Source organism: Homo sapiens, chromosome 9 (assembly GCF_000001405.40).
Source record: "Homo sapiens chromosome 9, GRCh38.p14 Primary Assembly".
In the NCBI taxonomy this organism is placed as follows: domain Eukaryota; kingdom Metazoa; phylum Chordata; class Mammalia; order Primates; family Hominidae; genus Homo; species Homo sapiens.
In genome coordinates, this window is record NC_000009.12 from 112,986,837 (window position 1) to 113,012,924 (window position 26,088).

Genomic DNA, 26,088 nt, shown 5'->3' on the forward strand with positions numbered 1-26,088 from the left:
GTGTTATAGCAAAAGGAAAAACTAACAAAAGAAAAAAATAAACTGGACTACATCAAAATTAAAACCTTTGTGCTTCGAAGAACATCATGGAGAAGTGAGAAGACAACCCACAGAATAGAAAAAAACATTTGCAAATCATATAAGGGCCCAAAATCCAGAATATATAAAGAATTCTTACCATACAATAAAAAATTAACTAATTTAAAATAAACAAAGAATCTAAATAGACATTTCTCAAAATATATACATGAATAATAAGCACATAAAAAGATGTTTGACCTCATTAGTCATCAGGGAAATGTAAATCAAAACCACATTAAGATACCACTTCACATCCACTAGGCTGGCTATAATTATTTTTAAATGGAAAAAAACTGCAAGTGCTGTTGAGGATGTGGAGAAATTAGAGTACTTGTACGTTACCAGTGGGCTTGTAAAATGGTACACATGCTTTAGAAAACTGTTGAATGTTTCTCAAAAGAAGGAAAAATAGAGTTAACATATGACCCCAGCAATTTCATTCCTAGCTGTACCCAAGAGAACTGAAAACATGTCCACACAAAATTTGTGCATGAATATTCAGAGCAGCATTATTCACAACAACCAAAAAGAGGAAACAGCCCAAAGGTTTATCAATTGATGGATGAATAAACAAAATGTGATATGTCCATATCGTAGAATATTATTTACCTATTAAAAATGAAGTACTGAAATATGCTACAACACAGACAAACCTTGAAAACATTATGTGAAGTAAAAGAAGCCAGCCACAAATAGCCACATATTCTGATTCCATTTAAATGAAATGGTCAGAATATACACATTCATAGAAAGAGAAAGTAGATTAGTGGTTGCCAGGGGCTAAGAGAGAGGGGCAATGGGGATAATTTTTTTTTCCAGACAGAGTCTTGCTCTGTTACCCAGGCTGGAGTTCTATGGCACAATCTGGGCTCACTGTAACCTCTGCCTCCCAGGTTCAAGCAATTCTCCCACCTCAGCCTCCTGAATAGCTGGGATTACAGGTGCCCACCAACACGCCCGGATAATTTTTGTATTTTTTAGTAGAGACGGAGTTTCACCATGTTGGCCAGACTGGTCTCAAACTCCTGACCTCAAATGATGCACCCGCCTTGGCCTCCCAAAGTGTTGGGATTACAGGAATAAGCCACCACACCTGGCTGGTTTTTTTTTTTTTTTTGGATGATGAAAATGTTCTGAAATCACATGGTGGTGATGGTTGCATGGCTGTGAATGTACTAAAATCCAGGAACTGTATACTTTTAAAGGGTATGTGAATTGTATCTTTTAAAAAAATTTAATTTTAAGTTCTAGGATACATGTGCAGGACATGCAGGTTTGTTACATAAGTAAACATGTGCCATGGTAGTTTGCTGCATCTATCAACCCATCACCTAGGTATTAAGTCTCACATGTATTAGCTATTGATCCTGATCCTCTCCTCCTGCTGCACCCCCAACAGGCCCCAGTGTGTATTGTTCCTCTCCCTGTGTCCATGTGTTCTCATTGTTCAGCTCCCACTTATAAGTGAGAACACACAGTGTTTAGTTTTCTGTTCCTGTGTTAGTTTGCTGAGGATAATGGCTTCCAGCTCCATCCACAGCCCTGCAAAGGACACGATCTGTTTCCTTTTTATGGCTGCATAATATTCCGTTTTCTTTATCCAGTCTATCATTCCATTTTCTTTATCCAGTCTATCGTTGATTGGCATTTGGGTTGATTCCATGTCTTTGCTATTGTGAATAGTGCTGCAATAAACATACGTGTGCATGTATCTTCATAATAGAATGATTTATATTCCTTTGGGTATATACTCAGTAATGGGATTGCTGAGTCAAATGATATTTCTGGTCTGAGGTCTTTGAGGAATCACCACACTGTCTTCCACAATGATTGAACTAATTTATATTCCTACCAACAGCGTGAAACTGTTCCTATCTCTCCACAGCATCTGTTGTTTCTTGCCTTTTTAATACTGACTGGCATGAGATGGCATCTCGTGGTTTTGATTTGCATTTCTCTAATGATTAGTGATGTTGGTTTTTTTTTCATGTTTGTTCACCACATAAATGTCTTCTTTTGAGAAGTGTCTGTTCATGTCCTTTGCCTATTTTTTAATGGGATTATTTGTTCTTGTAAATTTGTTTAGGTTCCTTGTAGACTCTGGATATTAGACCTTTGTCAAATGGATAGGTTGCAAAAGTTTTCCCTCATTCTGTAGATTTTCTGTTCACTCTGATGATAGTTTCTTTTGCTGTACAGAAGCTCTTTAGTTTAATTAGATCCCATTTGTCAATTTTTGCTTTTGTTGCAATAGCTTTTGGCATTTTCATCATGAAATCTTGCCTGTGCCTATGTCCTGAATGATATTGCCTATATTTTCTTCTAGGATATTTATAGTTTTGGGTTTTAAAGTCTTTAATCCATTTTGAGTTCATTTTTGTATAAGGTGTAGGGAAGGGGTCCAGTTTCAATTTTCTGCATATGGCTAGCCAGTTCTCCCAGCACCACTTATTAAATAGGAACTCCTTTCCCAATTGCTTGTTTTTTCAGGTTTGTTGAAGGTCAGATGGTTCCAGATGTGTGGTCTTATTTCTGAGATCTCTATTCTGTTCCATTGGTCTATGTGTCGTTTTTGGACCAGTACTGTGCTCGTTTGGTTACTGTAGCCTCATAGTATAGTTTGGAGTTGGGTAGTGTGATGCCTCCAGCTTTGTTCTTTTTGCATAGGATTGTCTTGGCTATTTGGGCTTTTTTTGGTTCCATATGAACATTAAAGTAGTTTTTTCTAATTCTGTGAAGAATGTCAATGGTAGTTTAATGGGAATAGCATTGAATCCATAAATTACTTTGAGCAGCATGGCCATTTTCACGATATTGATTCTTCCCATCCATGATCATGGAATGTATTTCCATTTGTTTGTGTCCTCTCTTATTTACTTGAGCAGTGGTTTGTAGTCTCCTTGAAGAGGTCCTTCACTTCCCTTGTTATCTGTATTCCTAGGTATTTTATTCTCTTTGTAGCATTTGTGAATGGGAGTTTATGATTTGGCTTTCTGCTTGCCTATTGTTGGCATATAGGAATGCTTGTGATTTTTGCATATTGATTTTGTATGCTGAGACATTGCTGAATTTGCTTATCAGCTTAAGAAGCTTTTGGGCTGAGACAATGGAGTTTTCTAGATATAGGGTCATGTCATCTGCAAACAGAGACAGTTTGATTTCCTCTCTTCCTATTTGAATACCCTTTATTTCTTTCTCTTGACTGATTGCCCTGGCCAGAACTTCCAATACCATGTTGAATAGAAGTGGTGATAGAGGACATCCTTGTCTTGTGCTGGTTTTCAAGGGGAAAGATTCCAGGTTTTGCCTATTCAGTCTGATATTGGCTGTGGGTTTGTCATGTGGCTCTTACTATTTTGAGATATGTTCCATCAAAACCTAGTTTATTGAGAGTTTTTAACATGAAGGGATGTTGAATTTTATCAAAGTCCTTTTCTGCATCTATTGAGATAATCATGTGGTTTTTGTCTTTAGTTCTGTTTATGTGATGAATTACATTTATTGACTTGCATATGTTGAATCAACCTTGCATCCCAGGGATAAAGCTGATTTGATATTAGTGGATAAGCATTTTGATGTGCTCCTGGATTCAGTTTGCCAGTATTTTATTGAAAATTTTTGCATCGATGTTCATCAGGGACATTGCCCTGAAGTTTTCTTTTTTTGTTGTATCTCTGCCAGGTTTCATATCAGGATGATGCTGGCCTCATAAAATGAGTTAGTGAGGAGTCCCTCCTTTTCAATTGTTTGGAATAGATCCAGAAGAAATGGTACCAGCTTCTCTTTGTACCCGTGGTAGAATTCAGCTGTAAATCCATCTGGTCCTGGGCTTTTTTTTTGTTGTTGTTGGTAGCTTATTATTGCCTAATTTCAGAACTCGTTATTGGTCTATTCAGGGGTTCAACTTCCTGGTTCAGTCTTGGGAGGGTGTATGTGTCCAGGAATGTATCCATTTCTTCTATATTTCTAGCTTATTTGCATAGAAGTGTTTATAGTAGTCTCTGATGGTTGGTTGTATTTCTGTGGGGTCGGGGTGATATCCCCTTTACCATTTTTTATTGTGTCTATTTGATTCTTCTCTCTTTTCTTCATTAGTCTAGTTAGCAATCTATTTTATTAGTTTTTTCAAAAACCAGCTCCTGGATTCATTGATTTTTTTGAAGGGTTATTTGTGTCTCTATCCACTCTGATCTTGGTTATTTCTTGTCTTCTGCTAGCTTTGGGTTTGTTTGCTCTTGGTTCTCATTTTTTTAGTTGTGATGCTGGGTGTCTATTTGAGATCTTTCTAGCCTTCTGATGTGGGTATTTAGTGCTATAAATTTTCCTTTTAACATTGCTTTAGCTGCATCACAGAGATTCTGGTATGTTGACTCTTTGTTCTCCTTGGTTTCAAAAAACAATTTGATTTCTGCCTTAATTGTTTACTCAGGAGTCATTCAGGAGAAGGTTGTTCAATTTCCATGTAGTTGTGTGGTTTTGAGTGAGTTTCTTAATCTTGTGTTCTAATTTGATTGTGCTGTGGTCTGAGAGAGTGTGATTTATGATTTCAGTTCTTCTGCATTTACTGAAGAGTGTTTTACTTCCAATTATGTGATCAATTTTAGAGTCAGTGCATTGCGGCACCGAGAAGAATGTACATTCTGTTGTTTTTTGGTGGAGAGTTCTGTAGATAATTATCAGGTCTGCTTGATCCAGAGGTGAGTTCAAGTCCTGAATATTCTTGTTAATTTTCTGTCTTGATGATCTAATATTGAAAGCGGCATGTTAAAGTCTCCCACTGTTATTGTGTGGGAATCTAAGTCTCTTTGTCGGTCTCTAAGAACTTGTTTTATGAGTCTGGGTGCTCCGGTATTGGGTGCATATATATTTAGAATAGTTAGCTCTTCTTGTTGAATTGAATCCTTTACCATTATGTAATGCCCTTCTTTGTGTTTTTTGATCTTTGTTGGTTTAAAGTCTGTTTTGTCAGAAACTAGTATTGCAACCTCTGCTTTTTTCTGCTTTCCATTTGTTTGGTAAATTTTCTGCCATCCCTTTATTTTGAGCCTATATGTGTCTTTGCATATGAGATGAGTCTCTTGAATACAACACACTGATAGGTCTTGACTCTTTATCCAGCTTGCCATTCTGTGTCTTTTAACTGGGGGCATTTAGCCCATTTACATTTAAAGTTAATATTGTTATGTGTGAATTTGATCCCGTCATCATTGTGCTAGCTGGTTATTTTGCAGACTTGTTGATGTAGTTGTTTCATAGTGTCACTGGTCTTTATACTTCAGCATGTTTTAGGAGTGGCTGGAAATAATTTTTCCTTTCCATATTTAGTGCTTCCTTCAGGAGCTCTTGCAAGGGAGGCCTGGTGGCAGTGAATTCCCTCAGCATTTGCTTGTCTGAAGAGGATTTTATTTCTCCTTTGCTTACGAAGCTTAGTTTGGTTGTATGTAAAATTCTGGGTTGGAAGTTCTTTCCTTTAAGAATGTTGAATATTGGCCTCCTCTTCAAGCTTGTAGGGTTTCTGCTGAGAGGTCTGCTGTTATTCTGATGGGCTCCCCTTTGTAGGTCACCTGGCCTTTCTTTCTGGCTGACTTTAACATTTTTTCCTTCATTTCGACCTTGGAGAATCTGATGATTATGTGTTTTGGGGTTGATCTTCTCATGGAATATCTTACTGGGGTTCTCTGGACTTCCTGAATAAGAACGTTGGCTTGTCTTGTTAGGTTGGGGAAGTTCTCCTGGATGACATCCTGAAGTATGGTTTCCAACTTGGTTCCATTCTCTCTCAGGTACCCCAATCAGTTATAGGTTCAGTCTTTTATACATAATCCCATAGTTCTCAGAGGTTTTGTTAATTCCTTTTCATTCTTTTTTCTCTAATCTTGTCTGCCCGTCTTATTTCAGCAAGATAGTCTTCAAGCTCTGAAATTCTTTTCTCCAGTCTATTTGGTTATTGATACTTGTGGCTTCATTGTGAGGTTCTTGTGTTGTGTTTTTCCGCTCCATCAGGTCATTTATGTTCCTCTCTACTGGTTTTTCTGGTTAATAGCTTCTGTAATGTTTTATCATGATTCTTAGCTTCTTTCCATTGGATTAGAACATGCTCCTTTAGCTCAGCAATGTTTGTTATTACCCACCTTCTGAAGCCTACTTCTGTCAATTCATCCATCCTCAGCCTCTGCCAAGTTCTGTGTCCTTCCTGGAGAGGTGTTGCAATCAATTGGAGGAGAAGAGGCACTCTGGCTTTTTGAGTTTTCAGTGGGGTTACTTTTTTGTTGATTCTTTCTCATTTCATGAGTTTATCTAGCTTTGATCTTTGAGGCTGCTGACCTTTGGATATGTTTTTTGTGGGACTTTTTTGTTGATACTGTTGTTGCTGTTGCTGTTTGTTTTTCTTTTAACAGTCAGGTTCCACTCCCATAGGGCTACTGCAATTTGCTGGGGGTCCCTCCCATACTTGGAGGTATCACCAGTGGAGGCTGGAAAATAGCAAAGATGGCTGCCTGCTCCTTCCTCTGGGATTTCTGTCTCAGAGGGGCACCAAACTAAGGCCAGCAGGAATGCTCCTGTATACGGTGTCTGGTGACCTCTGTTGGGGAGATCTCCCCAGTCAGGAGGCATGGGATCCAGGACCCACCTAACAAATCACTCTAGCTGCCCCTTGGCAGAGGAGGTGTGCTATGCTGGGTGGAATCCCACTCGTCCAGACTGCCCGGATTCCTCAGAGCCAGCAGGGGGAAAAGACTAAGTCTGTTGATCCATGGAGACCACAGCCACCCCTCCCCACAAGAGCTCAGTCTCAGAGAGATCAGAGTTCTGTTTCTAAACTCCTGGCAGGAATTGCTGAAGTTCCTGCAGGGAGGCCCCACCCAGTGAGGAGGATTGATCAGGGCCTGGCCTAAAGAGACAGTCTGGTTATAACCTTTTATAGCTGCTGTGCTGTGCTGTGGGCAATTCCTCCTGGGTCCAAACTACCCAGTCTCCCCAGCACTGGCAGGGGAAAAATGGCAGACTGGAGCTGCAGTGATGGCTGCCACTCCTCCTACCGGGAACTCAAGTCATCTTAGGCAGCAGGAAGCCACAGTGATGGTGGCCAGTCCTTCCCGCAGGAACTCAGCAGCCTTAGGCAGTCTCCAGCCTAGTGGCTGCTGAGAATCTGCACAGCTCTGTGGTAGGCTCTCTCTAGCCTTGTGGCTACACACCAAGGCCCTGGTGTGTGGGCTCACGAAGGGGATCTCCTGATCTGTGGGTTGCACAGATCCATGGAAAAAGTGTGGTTTCCTGGGCAGGGTAGCACAATCACTCACTGCCTCCCTTGGCTGCAGGTGGTAGCTCCCTTTGCCTTGTGTGGCTTCCAGGTGGGCCGTCACACCACCCTGCTTTTCCTCACTCTCCGTGCTTTTCCTCACTCTCCATGCTTTTCCTCACTCTCCATGGGTCATGCCAATTGCCTAGTAAGTCCCAATAGGAGAACCTGGATACCTCAGTCACCAGTGCAGGATTCACTCACTGTTTTCATTCTTCTCAGTGGGAGCCTCTGTCTGCAGCTGTTTCTTGTGAATTATATCTTAATAGAGATGTCATTTTAAAAATTCCATTTATATTGTGATTCAATTAAATTTACAAATCAGAGATAAATTAAATACAAACTGGCATCTTTACATTATTTTTCCAATTTTTCCCAATCAGTTCTTTTCATTTATTATAATATTCTATATTTTTTAGAAAAGGTTTATTCCCTAATCACATCTTGGATTTTTTAAATTCCTGGTATTTTTAGATTGTCAAAATTGTAAATGTCACTTCTTTCTACTATCTTTTCTATTTCTCCTACTTTTTTTTAATATATTGTTTTGTACATATATCATTTTAGTAGTTCTAATTGGATTTTCTAATATTGAATGTATTTCAAATTATGACAGTTTTTCTCTTCCTTTAAATTATTGCTATCTTTTTTTTCTCTAATTGGATTACCTGGGATCTTTAGCATAATATTGACTAATAATGGTGGCATCAAACATCATTTATCTCATTCCTGTTTCGGTAAGAATGCTTTGGGTTATTCATGGTTTTTCTTGTAGGTTTATAGTAAATAGCCCATCATGGTTAATTTTATGTGTCAACTTGACGGTCCAAATATGTGGTGCTTAGATATTTGAATAAACATTTTTTCTAGGTGTCTTTGAATGTGTTTCAAAGAAGAGGTTAACATTTGAACCAGTAGACTAAGTAAAGCAGATTTCAATGTGGCTGTAGACCTCATCCAATCCATTGTAGGCCCAAATAGAATAAAAGGCTGAGTAAGAGACTTCTCTCCCTGCCTGTCTTCAAGCTGGGACACTAGTCTTCTGCCTGCCTGCAGACTCAAACTGGAACTTACACCTTCAGTTTTCCTGCCCTTCAGAAGACTCAGGCCCTCAAACTCAAGACTAGAACTTTACCATCGGCTCTCCTGAGTCTCCAGCTTGCTGACTGCAGATCTTGGGCTTCTTATCATCCATTAATGTCCATACACATCTCCTTCCTTCCTTTCTCTCTTCCTTCCTTCTTTCCCTCTCTCTCCCTTCCTCCCTGCCTTTCTCTCCCTTTCCTCCCTTCCTTCCTCTCTCTCTCTTTCCTACTTTCCTTTCTCTCTCTCTCCATTCCTTCTCTTCCTTCTCTCTTTCTTCTCTCTCTGGAGAACACACACTAATACATGCTCATCATCAATATACAATATAAGGAATTTTCTAACTTTAAAAAAAGTCACCAATGTATATAGAATTTTATTAAATGATTTTTACAGCATCTATTAAGATAGGTTTTTGTTTATTAATGTAGATTTCTATTTTTGAAATAGTCTAGAAGTTCTAAAATAAACCTTAGTACTGACTTTACTAAACTGCTAGATTTCCTAATGATTGACTTCGAGTATTTAAGTTTCCTTCCATATATATTTATAATCATTTTCTTACTCTTGGATTTTTTGTCCTTTTCCCATCATTCCTACTTGCTAGAAGTTTGTCTATTGCCTTATGAAATCTACCTTTTGTAACTATTTCATTGAGGTGTGGTTTTATCTTTATTAAAGCATTTCTTTTCTTTGGATTTATATTATTCTTTTTCCTTTCTGAATTCAATGTATAATTTTTGTTCTAGTTTTATTGTCTTCTAATAATCACGTTTTTTTTCCTGTACAGATTTATTCTTTAACTCCAAAATTACTTAGAAACTTATTTTAAATTTCTAAATCATGTTGGGGTGCTACTTTTAGTTGTTTTCATTTATATTTTTACTGCATTGCACTGAAAAAAATTAGGGAGGGCCTGAATATTTCCCTCTGAGAATTTATTGCAATTTTCTTTGTAACCATATATATAGTCCATTAAAAAATATTACATAAATCTTAGAAAATAATGCATAGTATCTTTGTGGGAGAAAACATTATTTGTCTATGGCTATTAATGAAATCTGTCAATTTTATTTTCAAACCCTCTATAAAAGTGTTTCTTGAATGCTGAAATATAACATAGGACTTAATAAACAAAAAAGGGATTATATATAGAGTGAACAATTTTCCTTACCTAAGATTTCTGTGTAATTCAAAAGGTTTTTTTATGGCCGGGCGCGGTGGCTCACGCCTGTAATCCCAGCACTTTGGGAGGCCGAGGCGGGCAGATCATGAGGTCAGGAGATCGAGACCATCCTGGCTAACACGGTGAAACCCCGTCTCTACTAAAAATACAAAAAATTAGCCGGGCGTGGTAGCGGGCGCCTGTAGTCCCAGCTACTCGGGAGGCTGAGGCAGGAGAATGGCGTGAACCTGGGAGGCGGAGCTTGCAGTGAGCCGAGATCGCGCCACTGCACTCCAGCCTGGGCGACAGAGCGAGACTCCGTCTCAAAAAAAAAAAAAAAAAAAAAAAAAAAAAAAAAAGTTTTTTTATAAGCAAATATATACATTTTAATAAATTATCTCTGAAAGTAACTTTCTAAATGTCTTTAAAAAACAAACCTCAGTTTTGGATGAACACTTCCATTATAACTTTCTCTTTCAATAACACCTTTTTTAGATTATAAGCATAGTCCTTCTTCTCAGTACAAATAGCATATTAAGTAAATGAGTGTTTTGCCTAAGATTTTCCTCACATAACAATCCTAGGGTTGCTTGAACTGTGAGTGCTCAGGTGTAAACAATAACCTACGACTGACTGCAGGCTTTCCCACACTCATTACTCTGCTAAGGTTTCCTTTCTGAAATGAGTTTTCTGATGTCGAATTAAGGATGTACTATGACAAAAGACATCACCACACTTAGTACATTGATAGGGTCTCTCCCTTGTATGTATTCGCTTATGTTTAGTTAGAGCTGAGCTTAAGCTGAAGGATTTCCCACATTCATTACACTGGTAGGGTTTCTCTCCTGTATGCGTCCTCTGATGTCGAATTAGTGATGTTCTATAGCAAAACAGTTTCTGACATTCATTACATTGATAGGGTTTCACACAAGAATGAATTTTTAGATGTTCAGTAAGGTGTGTACTTCGACTGAAGGTTTTTCCACATTCTTTACAAACATAGGGCTTCTCTCCAGTATGAGTTCTCTGGTGTTCAGTAAGATGTGCACTCCGATTGAAGGCCTTTCCACATGCATTACACTCATAGGGTTTTTCTCCAGTATGAATTCTTTGATGTTGAATGAAGGCTGGGGTATGGCTGAAAGCTTTCCCACATTCATTACATTCATATGGTTTCTCTCCTGTGTGGGTTCTCTGATGTCGGATTAGTGATGTACTGTGGCAAAAAACTTTCCGACATTGCTTACACTGGTAGGATTTTTCCTCAGAATGAATTCCCTGATGTTCAATTAGGTGTGTGCTGCGGCTGAAGGTTTTTCCACATTCAGTACATTCATATGGTTTCTTTCCAGTATGAATTCTATGATGTTGAGTAAGGGCAGAGATATGGCTGAAAGCTTTCCCACATTCATTACAAGGATAGGGTTTTTCTCCAGTATGGATTCTCTCATGATTTCTAAGGGATGACCTATGACTAAAGGTTTTTTCACATTCATTACACTCATAAGGTTTCTCCCCAGTATGGACTCTTTGATGCTGAATAAGATTAGTGCTCTGACTAAAAGCTTTCCCACATTCATTACATTCATAAGGTTTCTCTCCAGTATGTATTCTTTGATGTTGAACAAGATTACTGTTCCGGGTAAAGGACTTACCACATATTTTACATTCATAAGGTTTTTCTCCAATATGTGTTTTCTGATGCTGGGTCAGGGATGCAAGACAAGTGTAGCCTTTCCCACATTCAGTACAGAGATATGGGTTCGCGGTCATATAAATTTTCTCAGATTCCATCAGTACTGAACTATGGCTTTACATTTATTTATTTTTTCATTTTTGTCGGTATGTAATAGGTGTTGGCTTTTCATTTATTTCCAGAATAAGTAAAGTTTGAGATACAAATGCATCCTTTCTTATATCTAATAAATTATTTTTCATTCATGAGTTTCTTTTGAAAAAATCCACTACAGCAGAATTATGCTTCAGGTTCCTACCATTGATGTCATAGTTACAGTAGTCCTGCCTTATCCACAGTTCCACTTCCCATGGTTTCAGTTATCCATGGGAAACTGTGGTCAAAAATATTATATGGAAAATTCCAGAAATAAACAATTCATAACTTTTAAATGGTGTGGTTTTCTGAGTACTGTGATGAAATCTTGTGTGATCTGCTCTGTCCTGCCTGGGCTGTGAATCATTTCTTTGTCTGGTGTATCTACACTCTATGTACTACCCACCCATTTGTCATTTAGTAGCTCATCCTAAGAACCTGGTTAGGGTTTGGTACATCAGTGATTTCAGGCCTTCTCTGTGGGTCTTGAAATGTATCCCCCATGAATAAGTGGGGACTACTGTATGAGGTCTTTTTCTTATAAAAACTCTCAGTTGTTTAAAAAGCTTTGGTCTTTGGTTAAATGTTTCCTCGAAGTTGTTATATTCATGATCATCCTTTTGACTCGCTTTTTCTTGTAATCTGGATATACTGGTGTTTCTCAAACTGGTCATCAAATTCGAGTTCTTCTAATGTGAAGTATTAGGAACCATCATTTGAAAAAAAATTCTAACATCATATGATGACATTATTTTGTTTTTCAGAAATTCTCTGCTTTGGAGTGGATGCTCTGACTTCAGATATAGTATCCAGGATTAAGTAGAAGATATTATCTCTTTCCTCTGAAATACAAAGGCAGAAAACAAGGCTCATTCATCAGTTACAGAAAATAAAATAGTGCTATGATAAAATGTAAAGTTTTTCAATATAAGTGCTGATTAATAGGGAAGTTTAAAGGTGAAATGGAACAATATATATGTCTGGAAAACAGTTTCTCTACTCACAACATTTCTGACAAATTGTATAGCCACAGCCTATTCTTCTCTATAACTCATACTTAACACACTTCTGTGTGCAAATGTGTGGGGTTGTTTCCATTCTGACCAATTCTCCAACTCTCTGGACACCAACTAGATATCCTACAATTTACTCTAATTCCAACACTACCTACCTGGAGTAAGCATCATATCCCTCAAGTTAAAGGGCTCAGTCCCACAAGACTGCCTCCACTTCAGATGATAATCACAAGCTGGTCCTCCCATACTTCTGACCAACTGGCTACAAGTTGAGGGTTCCTATAACCCCTCTTTCTCTGGTTCAATAATTTGCTAGAATGGCTCACAGAACTCAGGAAAACACTTTACTTACATTTACCAGTTTATTATAAAGGATACAATTCAGGAGAAGCCATTCAGGAAGAGATGCACAGGGCAAGGTGGGCAGAAGGGAAAGGGGTATAGAGCTTCCACATCATCTCTGGGCATGCGACACTTCCAGCACCTTGATGTGTAGACCAATCTAGAAGGTCATCAAATATCACTGTTTAAGAATTTGTATAGAGCTTAATCTCCATCCCCATACCTTCCTTCCCAGAGGTTAGTTGGGTGGAGTTGAAAGTTATAACCCTCTAGTTGCTTGGTCTTTTTAGTGATCAGATCCACTATTGAGGCTATCTAGGGGCCCTACCCTATTTCACCTCATCCACATAAACTCAAGTATGATTTTTTAAAAAGGTGTATTATGAACAACAAAAGATATTCCTATCACTCAGGAAATCTGGAGGGCTTTCAAAGCTCTGTGACAAGAATTGGAAACAAAGACCAGATATGTTTTGTATGATATCACAATAGTTGTGATAAAAGAAATGGTAGCTTTGAGACAAAGTACATAATAAAATCAAGGGTAAAGATTCAGTAAAATAAATGTTGTGAATAAAAGACAATGAAACTAATTCAAATGTATGTATGTTTTTGGAAACCAGAGGCAAAAAACCAGAAAAGTGAAATGGGATCAGATAATAAAAAACTCTCACACTTTAAACAGAGAAATTCAATGTCATCTAGCAGGAGACAGGAAAACTGAAGTTTTCTGTCAGAACATTAACAGGATAAATATATCTTAGATGTGATGTTTTAGATTAAAAGCTTGTTAATTCTGTGTAAAATGAATAAAAGAACAATGGTCAAACTTAGCAAGAAAGTATAATATGAAAGATATGAGCCTGGATTGGGAGAATACTAGTAAGAACTTGGTGTAAGTGTAGATAAGACATAAAAAAGAAGAAACAAAAAATGCTGAAATAGATTATAGGGAATTTTTACAAAACAAGATTCATAAAGATACAATGTTTTCTAGCCAAGGAGGCTGGAAGAATAGTGGTACTAATGATAAAGAAAGAGAGGCTACCCAGGGCAAGTTGGTGATTTTGCTTTCACCATATTGAGGTTAAAGTGTTTTAAAGTGAAGTAGGACATTCTAATGGAGATAAGCTCTAAGCAGGGGAATATATGGGGATAATAGAATATAAGTGAAACACTTAAGTTGAAAAAATATATAAGACAGTTAACATGGAAGGACTATTTGAGGATATCAGAATGCACTAATTTTTTGAGATAAAAATAAGTAAAAAAACCATAAAGGCACATGCATTTACGTTAGGGAGCAAGTGAAGTTAACAAAAAAGCATTTGGAAAGAGATTAGAATGGAAAAGAATCTGGTGATGTCACACAAGGTAAAACAAAATACCAAACACAGCAGAAAGTCTGAACAGAGAAAGGACTAAGAACAGGTTGCTATAAAGAAAGAATTCAAGAATCTCTTCAAAATAATTTTAGCAGAAGACAAGAATCTAACTCCAAAGATTAAAAGAGAATAGGAACTTAGGATATTAGCTACAAGTCTGAAACATTTGGTAATGACAGAATAATTTTGAAAGGTAGATAAAAAATTTTTAGGCAACATGTTATTTTAAAAGCAAGAAAACCTTTTTAATGTCTGAAAGTAGAAGGAAAGGAGCTGGTGAACGGCAGAGAATGAATCATAAAACAGTCATTAAATCAGGCCCTAAAACAAGTAGAAAATAATGGAATCTGATGTACAGAATGGAAAGATTAACAATGGAAGGGGCCAATCTTCCTCTGAGATCAAGAGATATGTGAGAAGATAGATAAAGGTATATAGAAATGAAGTTGCTGTTGCTTCTACTAGATGAATGCAGGTTTTTAAAATACAGACGAGGGGCTCTGCATAGAGGACCTTAACCAACATTTCAAAAGCTATCTCCTAGTACCACTATTGTTACTAGCACCACCATAATGGATAAATGGACTCTTATTTACAAGGATTCCTGTCTTCTTGGTTGTTTTAGTTATCTGATTCTTTCCTGGCTGATATTTTGTGACATTTCTCCATTTTTCCTTTGTTATCTATTTATATGGTTCTTCTTAGTTGGAAGATAATATCAATGGATCCTAGAATTATGTCCTAAGTAGTCTTCAGGAATTCTGCGATAGAGAAATGTTGATACTTCTAAGGTAACAAAGTAAGACTATTTACAAAGTTTTAAAGAAAAGGACTATCATCTGTTTAGTACAGAAATATCTTGTCTCTGGTCCCTAAACTCAAAGCTCAGTCTCAGATGAACACTTGTAAATCTCATGATCCTACATATTTTGGCATTGGAGAAACTGTACTCACCCAATGAGATGAGGCTGTAACAGTTTTTGAAGATCACATCCATGTGCCATGTCTCTGACATCTTCCAATGCCACGGGTTCCTAAAACATCAAACAAGTACCTGCTCATTAAAGGATCAGTCCTGCAGACATTTACGAAAGAAACAGTAAAGCTAACAATTAAAAATGACAAAGTGGAGGACTATTAAGTTGTTCGAAAAGGATTCAGAGTTCTAGGTTCAAGAGTGGCCAAAAGTTTATTATTTGATGTCTACTACTTGTTTAGGATATACAGAAGCAATACGGAAGTTTCCCTATAAAGACACCTAAAACAATAATGGTGATTTAAAAAGCTAAGAAAATATTGCAGCCAATAGAAGCCTAAGGAGAAAATATAACTAAATGTAACATGGTATCTTGAATGAGATCAGAGAGTAGAAAAATGACACTACATAAATACTAAAAAAATTTTAATGAAATACTACAGTTAATAATAATGTACCAACCTTGGCTAACTGTGACAAATGTACCAAACTAACATAAGATGTTGACAGTAGGGAAAACTGGCTATGGGGATGTGGGAACTCTCTGTAATATATCTGTAAATTTTACGCAAATCTAAAACTATTCTAAAATAAGTTTATTAATAAAAGCAAAAGATACCTTATTTTTAAGTTAATCTCCTATTCAACTATTTTCTTACAGCTTGTTTTTCTTTTAATCATCATTTAGCCATGTGCTATATTCTAAATGAATCTCCCAAAGGCACATGTTGAAACTTAATTGCCAATGCGATAATATTAAGAGGTGGAGGCCTTCGGGAGGCGATTAAGTCATGAGTGTAGAGCCTTCATGGAAGGGATTAAGGACCTTATAAAAAGGCTTGAGGGAGTGGGTTTGTTCCCTTCCATGTTTTCTGCCATGTAAGGATACAGTGTTCACTGCAACAAGGCACCATCCTGAAGCATAGACTGAGCCTTCACTAGACAACAAACCTGTTGGCACCATGATCTTGAACTTCAAGCCTCCAGAACTGTGATAAATAAATTTCTGTTCTTTATAAATTGCCCTGTCTCAGGTATTTTGCTATAGCAGCACAAACTAAGACACCTTGTGATATGATTTTGCTGTGTCCCCACCCAAATCTCACCTGGAATTGTCCCCACACGTCAAGGATTGGGCCAGGTGGAGATAACTGAATCATGGGCGCAGTTTCCCCCATACTGTTCTCATGGTAGTGAATAACTCTTATGAGTTCTGATGGTTTTATAAATGGGAGTTCCTCTGCCTGCATAAGCTCTCTCTTGCCCACCACCATGTAAGAAGTCCCTTTGCTCTTCCTTCGTCTTCTGCCATGATTATGAGGCCTTCCCAGCTTGCTGAACTGGGAGTCCATTAAACCTCTTTCCTTTATAAATTACCCAGTCTTGGCTATGTTTTTATTAGCAGCATGAGAATGGACTAATACACCTTGTTTTATGTTTTACTTCCTGATGATGCAGTTTATGTAGTCCTTTTCATATATCAGATATTCAATAGAAGCTTATCTCTTAAAAATGAGTATAGGGGCTTATGTGACTTAAGCGGTCTAACATATAAGTGGAGTCTCAAAAAAAAAAAAAAGAATGGAAATGATGCTATATTTAAGGGAATAAGGATAGATTTTTCCCAACCAATGACTCACAGATTCCACTGCCCTCAAACCATAAGCAAGCTAAATACAAAGAAAGCTACACCCAGGAATAGAATAGTCAAACTCCTGAAAATCACAGAAAAGGAGAACAATCTTAAAAGTAATTTAACAAAAGGGCAGAGTAACTTCAAAGCAGAAACAATAAGACTGCTGACTCCTCAGCAGTTCAAGAGAATCAACTGAAAAGCCATGTTTCTGGATGAGAAGACTTAATATTGTAAAGATGTTAATTCTCCCCTGTTGTGGGTTGAATTGTGTCCCTCCAAAAAAGGTATGTTGTAATCCTAACAGTACCTCAGAATGTGACCTTATTTGGAAACAGGATCACTGCAGATGTAATTAGTTAAGGTGAGTTCACACTGGAATGGGGTGGGCTCCTAATCCAGTATGGCTGGTGCCCTTTTAAGAAGACGGTCACGGGAAGACCCACAGACACACACACAGAAAGTCATGTGATGAAAGAGCAGAGAACAGAGTTACGCAGCTGAAAGCTGAGGAATACCAAAGATTTCCAGCAAACCACCTGAAGCTAGGGAGAAGCAAAGAATGATTTTCCTACAGGTTTCAGAGGCAGGATGACCTTGCTGACAGCTTGATTTTGGAATTCTAGCCTCAGAACTGTGAGATAATAAATTTATATTGTTTTAAGTTACCCAATTTGTGGCACATTGCTAGGGCAGTGCTAGGAGACAAATGCATACTCCAACTTAACTGACTAAACTTTAGCTAAGAACTAAATGTTTGTGTCCTCTCAAAATTCATATGTTGAAATTTTAACCCCTGAGGTAATAGTATTAGGTGAGGCCTTTGGGAGGTAATTAGGTCATGATGATGGAGGCCTCACCAATAGGATTAGTGCACTTGTAAGAGGAAACATGAGAGAAATGATCTTTCTCTTTGCCATGTGAGGAAACAATAAGATGGCCATCTGTAAACCAGGAAGAGGGCTTTCAACAAGAACCTGACAATGATGGCACTCTGATTTTGGATTTCCAGACTCCAGAACTATGAGAAAGAAATGTTTGTTGTTTAAGCCACCCAGTCTACAGTATTCTGTTACAGTAGCCCAAACTATCTAAAACACCTATATAATACATGAAAAAAGACGAGGATTGAGGGTGGGGACTTGCCCATACTAGATATCCAAACATATTCTATAGCTACATTAATTTTAAAACAGGGTGGTAGTGGCACAGGGATAGACTGAAAGAATAATAAAACTGAGTCTAGAAATAGGCCCTTTATTTTGTGGGGATTTAATATATGATAAAGGTAGCATTTCAAATTATTTGAGGAAGGATAAAAATTTAATAAATAATCTTAGGATAACTGGTTTATCCACTTAGGGAAAAAATAAATTCAAAGCTGCTGCCTTATGAAAAATAATTATAGGTGAATTAAAAACTTAAACATAAAACTAGAACTATAAAAGAGCCAGGAAAACTATTGCAAGAATATTTTTTATAATCTTGCAATGGGGAAATCCTTAATAAAATATAAAATCTAGAGGCTATATAGAAAAAGATTCACAGATTTGACTATACAAACAGAAGGCAATCAACTAAATTAAAAGACAAAAGACATATTGGGAGTAAATATTTGCAACTAATAAAGCAAAAAGGACCATTTTCTGTATTATATATAGTTTCTACAAATCAAATAGGAAAAATGTATAATGCAATACAAATCTGGGCAAAAGATATGAATAGGAAATTCACAAAAGAAATACAAACGATCAATATACAAAAAGATTTTCAAGCTCACTTCTAATCCCAGAAATACAAATTAAGATATCAATTTTCATTCATCAGATTGGCAAAAATGTCAAAAACAGGCAGTATTCAGTACTGTTTTAAGTATTGGGAAAATGGCTGCTCTCATATACTCTTAGTGGAAAAGGTTTATTTATTTGTATTTACTTATTATAAAGTCACATTACAACCAGACCAGGTTCATGACAAATTACCTTTGAGTCATAAACATTGTTAATAATAGTTATATTACCTGCAAAAATGAACTCACAGAACCTTGTACTTTTCCTCTCACTACATCATTACATTCATTGTACGTCAATATTCTACTTCCAATGTCTGTCTGCCTTCCTAGGCTATTAGCTTCTTGAGAACAGGACAGTCCTCTTCTCTCCTGACAGTTACTCTTCTGTCCTCAGTGCCACCCACAGAACCTGGTATTCACTATGCATCCAGTAAATATTACTTGAATGAGTGCATGAACAGACTTCTCTTGATTCCCAATTCTGTAGTCTTTGTATCTGAGATAGGAATTCAGCAGGACTAGTTTACAAGACAATGAGTCATATGACACCACTGGTAAGACAGGAGAAAGTAAACAACAGGTAACAAGATCCTGCCAATAAGAGGCATACAGTAAAGAAACCAGCCTATTTCTCTAAAAGTTCAAGCATGAAAAATTAAAAAAAAAAAAGAAACCAGCCTAAACCAGCTAGAATCAAGATGACAACAAAAGCGACCTTCCCTGCTCATTATACACTAATTATAATATATTAGCATGCTAAAAAACATGCCCACCAGAGCCATGACAGTTTACAATTGCCATGGCAATGCCCAAAGTTACCCTGTATGGTTTGGACAGGGAAACCCCCAGTTCCAGGAGCACCCCCTCTTCCCAGAAAACTCATGAGTAATCGACCCCTTGTTTAGCATATAATCATGAAATAGTCATAAAATAGCCAGCTAACAACCCCTGCTCCCCATGCTACTATACATATGGGGTGGCCCTGCTCTGCCTATGGAGTAGCCACCCTTTTATTTTACTTTTTAATAAACTTGCTTACACTTTACTCTGTCGGCTTGCTCTGGAGTTCTTTCCTGCACAAAGCCAAGACCCCACTTGGCCTCCCGGGCTAAGCCTCAGTTTTGGAGTTCACCTTGTGATATATCTGTAACATGCTTCTACTTAAACCTGCTATCTTAAAGAAGTAGGATTCAAGTCATTAGTGTTTTTCCTGTATCAACAGTCCATGAATCTGTCCAAATTACCTTATTGCCATATAAACTTCAGAATTTGATAGGATTTGGGTACCTATCTAATACCCAAATACCATCTAATCTGTCTCTCTTCTTCTACAGCTAAGCCATTATTAACTATATTTTTCAAATCAAAATTTATTGAATACCTTCTAACTGCAAAGTAAGGTTAATGCTTCTTGTGGCTAGATTTTATCTTTCTGAGCAAAGACTATGGTAATTTTTTAAAAAAAAAAATCTTGGCTGGGCACAGTGGCTCACGCCTGTAATCCCAGCATTTTGGGAAGCTGAGGCAGGCAGATCACGAGGTCAGGAGTTCAAGACCAGCCTGTGCAATATGGTGAAACCCCGTCTCTACTAAAAATACAAAAATTAGCCGGGCGTGGTGGTTCATGTCTGTAGTCCTAGCTGCTCAGGAGGCAGAGGCAGGAGAATCGCTTGAAACTGGGAGGCGGAGGTTGCAGTGAGCTGAGATCGTGCCACTGCACTCTAGTCTGGGCAACACAGCAAGACTCCGTCTCAAAAGAAAAAAATCTCCATGTACTTAGTAGGGTACCCCTGACGGGGTAGATGTTTTAATGAACACTCAACGATTAATGTTCTGCAAGCTATTTATTCTTTCATCAGTTTAGTTTCAGCAGCCTGCCTGTCAGAATTCTAAACTACACTTCTGCTAGTATTGCTGAATCTGTGAGGTTTCTTGGTCACAGTAGCCAGATAGAACTCATGACTAACTCCCCAAAATATGACTGGAGACCCTGTCTTACCTACTTCTTAGTATACTGGTGACCTGACAGTTGTTATTTAAAAACCCTGTGGTTACTATGTTCTCAACTCATAATGATCCCTGTAATCAGCCAGGCAAAATTAGCTGTGAGTATCCTAATCTTTGCCACATCCCTCAGGCCATCCAACTGTAAGTTCCTTTCTCTTTCAAGGCTGACTCTGATGTTGTTAGAACAGTAAAGACAGAAAATAAAAACGAGTGCCAGATGCTAGAGCTTCTTGCTCTCTAAACCTCACAAATGATGTCATAATGTCAGTGCATTTGAGTTAGAAAGAGGTTCAGGAAACATTAAGGCAAATTTCTTCAGTTTGCCCAGGACACACCTCAAGCCAACAGTAATGAACTGACTTGCCTAAGGTCACCCAATTAGCCACTGGCAGAGCTAGGACTATAGCCTCTCCCCTATTCTCGAGTTCAGCATTATTTCTCTCCATTTAAAAATGGTCCAAACACTATTTCTGAAAAGAAAAAGAAGGAAAAGGAGAAAAATTTCAAATTATTAGTCAAATTCATAGAGGGAAAATTTTTCTGCATCACCGGGACAGCATTTTGTACAAAGATTTTCTTGAAAGGGCAATGAGCCATTCAAATGACCCTGAGTCCTTCTAAAGACATAAATTCTTCATAAATTAAAATTTTAATGATTATCATAAGAATGTATTAGTTTTTAATCAGGTAGTTAAGTGTAAACATTTTAAGTGGAAAGCCTCATGTTTACACATGCAAATTACTGCCTATAAAGCATATTCTCTTTAATTTACTAATGACACAAGAAAATGTACAAAACTGAAGTGAAATCAAGACACATGTGAATGGCCTAAACTCAAATAGAAAAATACAGATACCAGGGCTTTGAGAATTGGCTAAGATGTCCTTTTTTAACATTCTAAGTAATGAAACTGAAAATGAGACAAGGGTTTGGGAGGGAATGGTGCATAGAGTAACAGGAAGAAATATTTATGAAAAGGAAGGAAATTCTACGGATTTATGAATAGTTTTGATCCAATGGAATTACAGTTGAACTCTTTTAACAGAAGTTCCTTTCAACTCAAGAATGATAGAAACATTATGTATTTGTGGATTTCTCTCACAGTAAATTAAGTGTTGATGGATATTAGATCATTTATGATTTAAAAATCCAGCATTTTATTTGAATTTTTCTATTTTTCTGAAAAATTATGTCTATATAGCTAAATAAGCAAAATATATATAAATGACAAAACTATCAGGAATTTTGCCCAGTGACTGTCCCAGGCACTGTCCCGGGTAAGTGAGAGAAAGTGAGATCTAGTGCACTGGTAGAGGAGTTGGCCATAAATTAGAGTCCAGGCCATTTCTCCATAGTAACAGGAGGGAAGACAGGTTCCCTCCTGTTACTATGGAGTATAATGGGAATACTTCCTGGAAGGTTAGGGGATGTGGTGGTGAGAGCATTTGGAAGTTCTTTTCTAGTTCTCTTAGTGAAATAGGAAGCATGAGAGTGGAGATGGGGAGAGGAATTGGAAGTTTGGGGTGGATGAAGTGTTGGTTGGCTTAAAAAGTCAGACAATGAAGGAAATAGAAAAATCCATCTTTCACCTGGATGATTGCTTTAGCTTCCTAGCCAGTATCCATGTCTGACCTTGCTACCCTATACTCTATTCTCAACAGAGCATCCAAAATTGTTCCTTTAAACTAAGTCAAGTTATGTCACTTCTCTATTCAAAACCCTATGAAAATTGGTAAATTATATGTAAATCTTAATAGAGCTGAATAAACAATAACACCGAACACCATCACCTCCTACGTTTTCTCTTCTCATTCAGCATAAAAGCCAAACTGGCTGTGGCCATACTAGCCTGTGTGCTGTGTGGTCTGCACGCCTTACCTCTCTCATCTCAACTCCTACTGTGCTGCTATCACTCACCCCTCTCTGGCCACGTGGCCTTCCTGATGCTCCCACAAAGGTTAAGCACATCTGCACCTTGAGGCTTTGCATTTGCTGTTGCTTCTGCTGAGGAACTTAATCTCCCTAATCCCCCTCCCCTCCCCAAGTATCTACAAGGCTCATATTCCTTTTTTTTTTTTTGAGACAGAGTCTTGTTCTGTAGCCCAGGCTGGAATGCAGTGGCGTGATCTCGGCCCAGTGCAATCTCCACCTCCCAGGTTCAAGCGATTCTCCTGCCTCAGCCTCCCGAGTAGCTGGGACTACAGGCGTATGCCGCCACGCCCAGCTAATTTTTGTATTTTTAGTAGAGACAGGGTTTCACCATGTTGGACAGGATGGTCTCAATCTCTTGACCTCGTGATCTGCCTGCCTCAGCCTCCCAAAGTGCTGGGATTACAGGCATGAGCCATCACGCCCGGCCCATATTCTCATTTTCTATAATGTCATCTACCAGTGAAGCCTTCTCTTACTCCCCTATATTAAATAACAGCTGTCCTATGCCTTCCCTAGCCCCATTACTCTGGTATAGTTTCCTCTATTCATCACTATGAATGATGTTCAGTAGGTTAGGTGAATTAGTACATTTTTGAATTAATATTTTCAACTTACACATTTACTGGAATGTAACCTCATGCTCAGTTGAGGAACATCTGTGTTTACATTATTGTCTGTGTGCCCATCCAAGACTGTCAGTTCCACATAGGCAGAAACTTTGTGTTATTCACTGTTATATCCCAATGCTTAGAACATTAGCTGGCAAAAAGTAGGTGCTCAATGAATATTTATTCAGTGAGTGAAAGAAAGAAAATTTTCCCTCCCTCTGGACAGAGGTGATATTTCAGGAAATAAAAAATACAGCAGAGCTGCGTTACAGACACACATGTATATTTTATTTGTACAAATCTGCCCAACAGGCTCAAGAAAGTATGTTATCTAAAGGTAAGAGTGAGATGGGAGAATCTCCTGTTTCCTCAGTCTCACTTCTTACAGCCCTCTCGTAAGTGAGCATCTTGCTATGCTGAGTTATTTTAATGTTTAAAGAACATAGTCGGGGTACATTTACACATGTATATTATTGCATGGTTGTATACACATTACATGTGCATACACGTTATGAACTATTGTTCATAACAATGTATTCTTGAAAATTGCTATGAGAGCAGTTTAAGTGCTCTCACCACAAAAAATGAAAAGTACGTGAGGTGATGCATGTTCATTAGCTTGATTTAGCCATTCTACTACGTATACATATTTCAAAACAACATGTTACACATGATGAATATATAAAATTTTTATTTGTCAGTTATAAAGAAAAATTAGGCCGGGCACGGTGACTCACACCTGTAATCCCAGCACTTTGGGAGGCTGAGGTGGGCAGATCACGAGGTCAGGAGTTTGAGACCAGGATGCCCAACATGGTGAAACCCCATCTCTACTAAAAATACAAAAATTAGCCGGGCGTGGTGGTGCACGCCTGTAATTCCAGCTACTCAGGAGGCTGAGGCAGAAGAATCGCTTGAACCCAGGAGGCAGAGGTTGCAGTGAGCCAAGATCGTGCACTGCACTCCAGCCTGGGCAACTGGACGAGACCTTGTCTCAAAAAAAAAAAAAAAAAAAAATTGAGAGCAAATAATGAGCAATAAAAGAGATTATCAAGGGACGTTTAATTGCATATGATTTTTCCACACTGCAAGATGGAACTTTAGAAATTAAACCCAGCTTAAGGTACAAATGCCTTGAAAAGTTTTGCTCACCAAAGACCATGTAGTCAGGGGCCAGTGGTCAGGTCCTTCTTCTTGATGCCATCTTATATAAGTAAGTAGAGACCTGAGAAAGCAGAGCTGAAAAAGGAAAGGGGCCCTGAGAAATCAGGACTGTCTTTATGAGAAGCCTGTCTGACTACCTGGATATAACCCACACCCTCTGTAAAAATGTCAGAATGAATCTAGGAACAGATTCTTTCCCTGCAGAGTACAAAGTGAAAGGCCACTTACATTCCTCTCTCTGGTCACTGGTCCAATCTGACAAACCAGAAACAGGGCTAACTTTATCCTCCCATGATGGGTGGCACCGAGTGCACCAGCTCCCTCTTTGTTTGTTAACAATACTTGTAAAGCATATACAATTTTTCGAAGTGCATTCACAAATGCCATCTCAAAGAACAAACAATTGCTCTTCGTCGCCCGCAGAGTGTAGGGAATCAATTCCACAGTTCTTTATAGAAGAGACTTCAGAAATTTACCAGTAAAACGAAACAAGCTATCTCTAGAGAGGAGGTGAGTTTCTGAGGAAAGAGCAAGAACTGGATGTCGGGAAACCTAAATTCTAGTTGGCACTAAATACGTATATCACGGTTTTCTTGCAATTCCCAGGTCTACCTACCACCAAGGTCTGGGGTGGTTGCCCCTCCCCAGATAAACTGCCCCCCATCACAGTCAAAGCAAGGCCCAAAAGCTCTGAGCTCTGTTCTCATGACTCTCCAACCCAGAAGAGAACCCAAGCCCCTGACTGTTAAGGCTGGGATGAGCAGACACGGCTTTGCCTCCTCCTCACCCTGAAGCGGGATGCTGGCCCAGGTCACCACCACCCCTCCACTGCAACGTGAACCAAATACCCAGCCTGACCTAATCGGCTTTCCTCCGCCCCCGGGCCCGGCCAATGCATTCTCAGGCCTCTCCCGACCCGCCCGAATGGTTGTGTTTGAAGGGGACCTCTCTCCCCACCTCCCACACGAGTGCAAGGGTCGGGAAAGAAAAAGCTCACCTGCTCCACCGAAAAATAAAGAGCACGGTCGGGCGATGTGGTTCCCAAGCCAGGAAGTACGCCTGCGCACGCGGCCGCCAGGAACTACATTTCCCAGCATCTTCTGCAAAGCGCCCTCTTGAGCTGCGTCTTTCACCGGTGTCTTTCTAATGCTTTGCGGGTTGCGAACGTGCGTCGTTTCCATCGTTGTTTACATGAAAAGAAGAAAAAAGGAAAAGATTTTTTCTTTTGCTATAAACAACTGTAAATCCAAAGAGATGCAAAGTTTGCGTTAACAACACCCCAGACACAAAAGTAATACCTATTCACTACATTAATAGATGATTTATAAATAACTCTTTATTCAACAGATAAAAAACCAAACTACCCAGATGGATTCATTGCAGAAATATTTATTAACGCAGTGATTAATATTTTTTAGCATTCTAAAAGTAAATCTCTGATTTATAGCTAGCTTCTTTGTTATGAGTGTGTGTTGAGGGGACGGTGGCGGGGGGGCGGGGCGGGCAGAGACAGGGGGCAGAGAGAGAGACAGCGAGCAAGCACCAGAGAGATTCCATCCAAGAATGAGGTCATACTTTTGGGGTAGATTTTTTTCTAGCTTTTTTCTTCCTGTTAGGAACTTAGGTTATGATCCCTTCAGTGCTACCAAAAATAGTATACTGATGAACATCCTTGTAGAGTAATCTGTTCACTCCTCCACATCTGTTCTTGACAAAAACGTCCGAAAAACGAATATAATGAAGAGGGAATATGTATATCTAACTTTTTTCTT

The 26,088-nt window shown here is 38.5% G+C and overlaps 1 protein-coding gene across 1 annotated transcript; it reads right to left on the reverse strand.

Annotated features, from left to right (window-relative positions):
• Positions 1-1,292: 1,292 nt before the first annotated feature.
• Positions 1,293-25,356, reverse strand: ZNF883 (zinc finger protein 883). Its single transcript, NM_001101338.2, has 5 exons — positions 25,314-25,356; positions 24,305-24,391; positions 15,158-15,237; positions 12,829-12,978; positions 1,293-12,302 (listed from the first exon to the last, which is right to left on the reverse strand). The coding sequence occupies exon 5, from the start codon at positions 11,421-11,423 to the stop codon at positions 10,284-10,286; it is 1,140 nt and encodes a 379-aa protein (NP_001094808.1). The 5' UTR covers positions 11,424-12,302; positions 12,829-12,978; positions 15,158-15,237; positions 24,305-24,391; positions 25,314-25,356; the 3' UTR covers positions 1,293-10,283.
• Positions 25,357-26,088: the final 732 nt, after the last annotated feature.

What these genes read in the sequence shown, in the direction of transcription:
- ZNF883 (NM_001101338.2), bottom strand. Translation starts at nt 11,423, where the DNA reads ATGGAATCTGAGAAAATTTATATGACCGCGAACCCATATCTCTGTACT.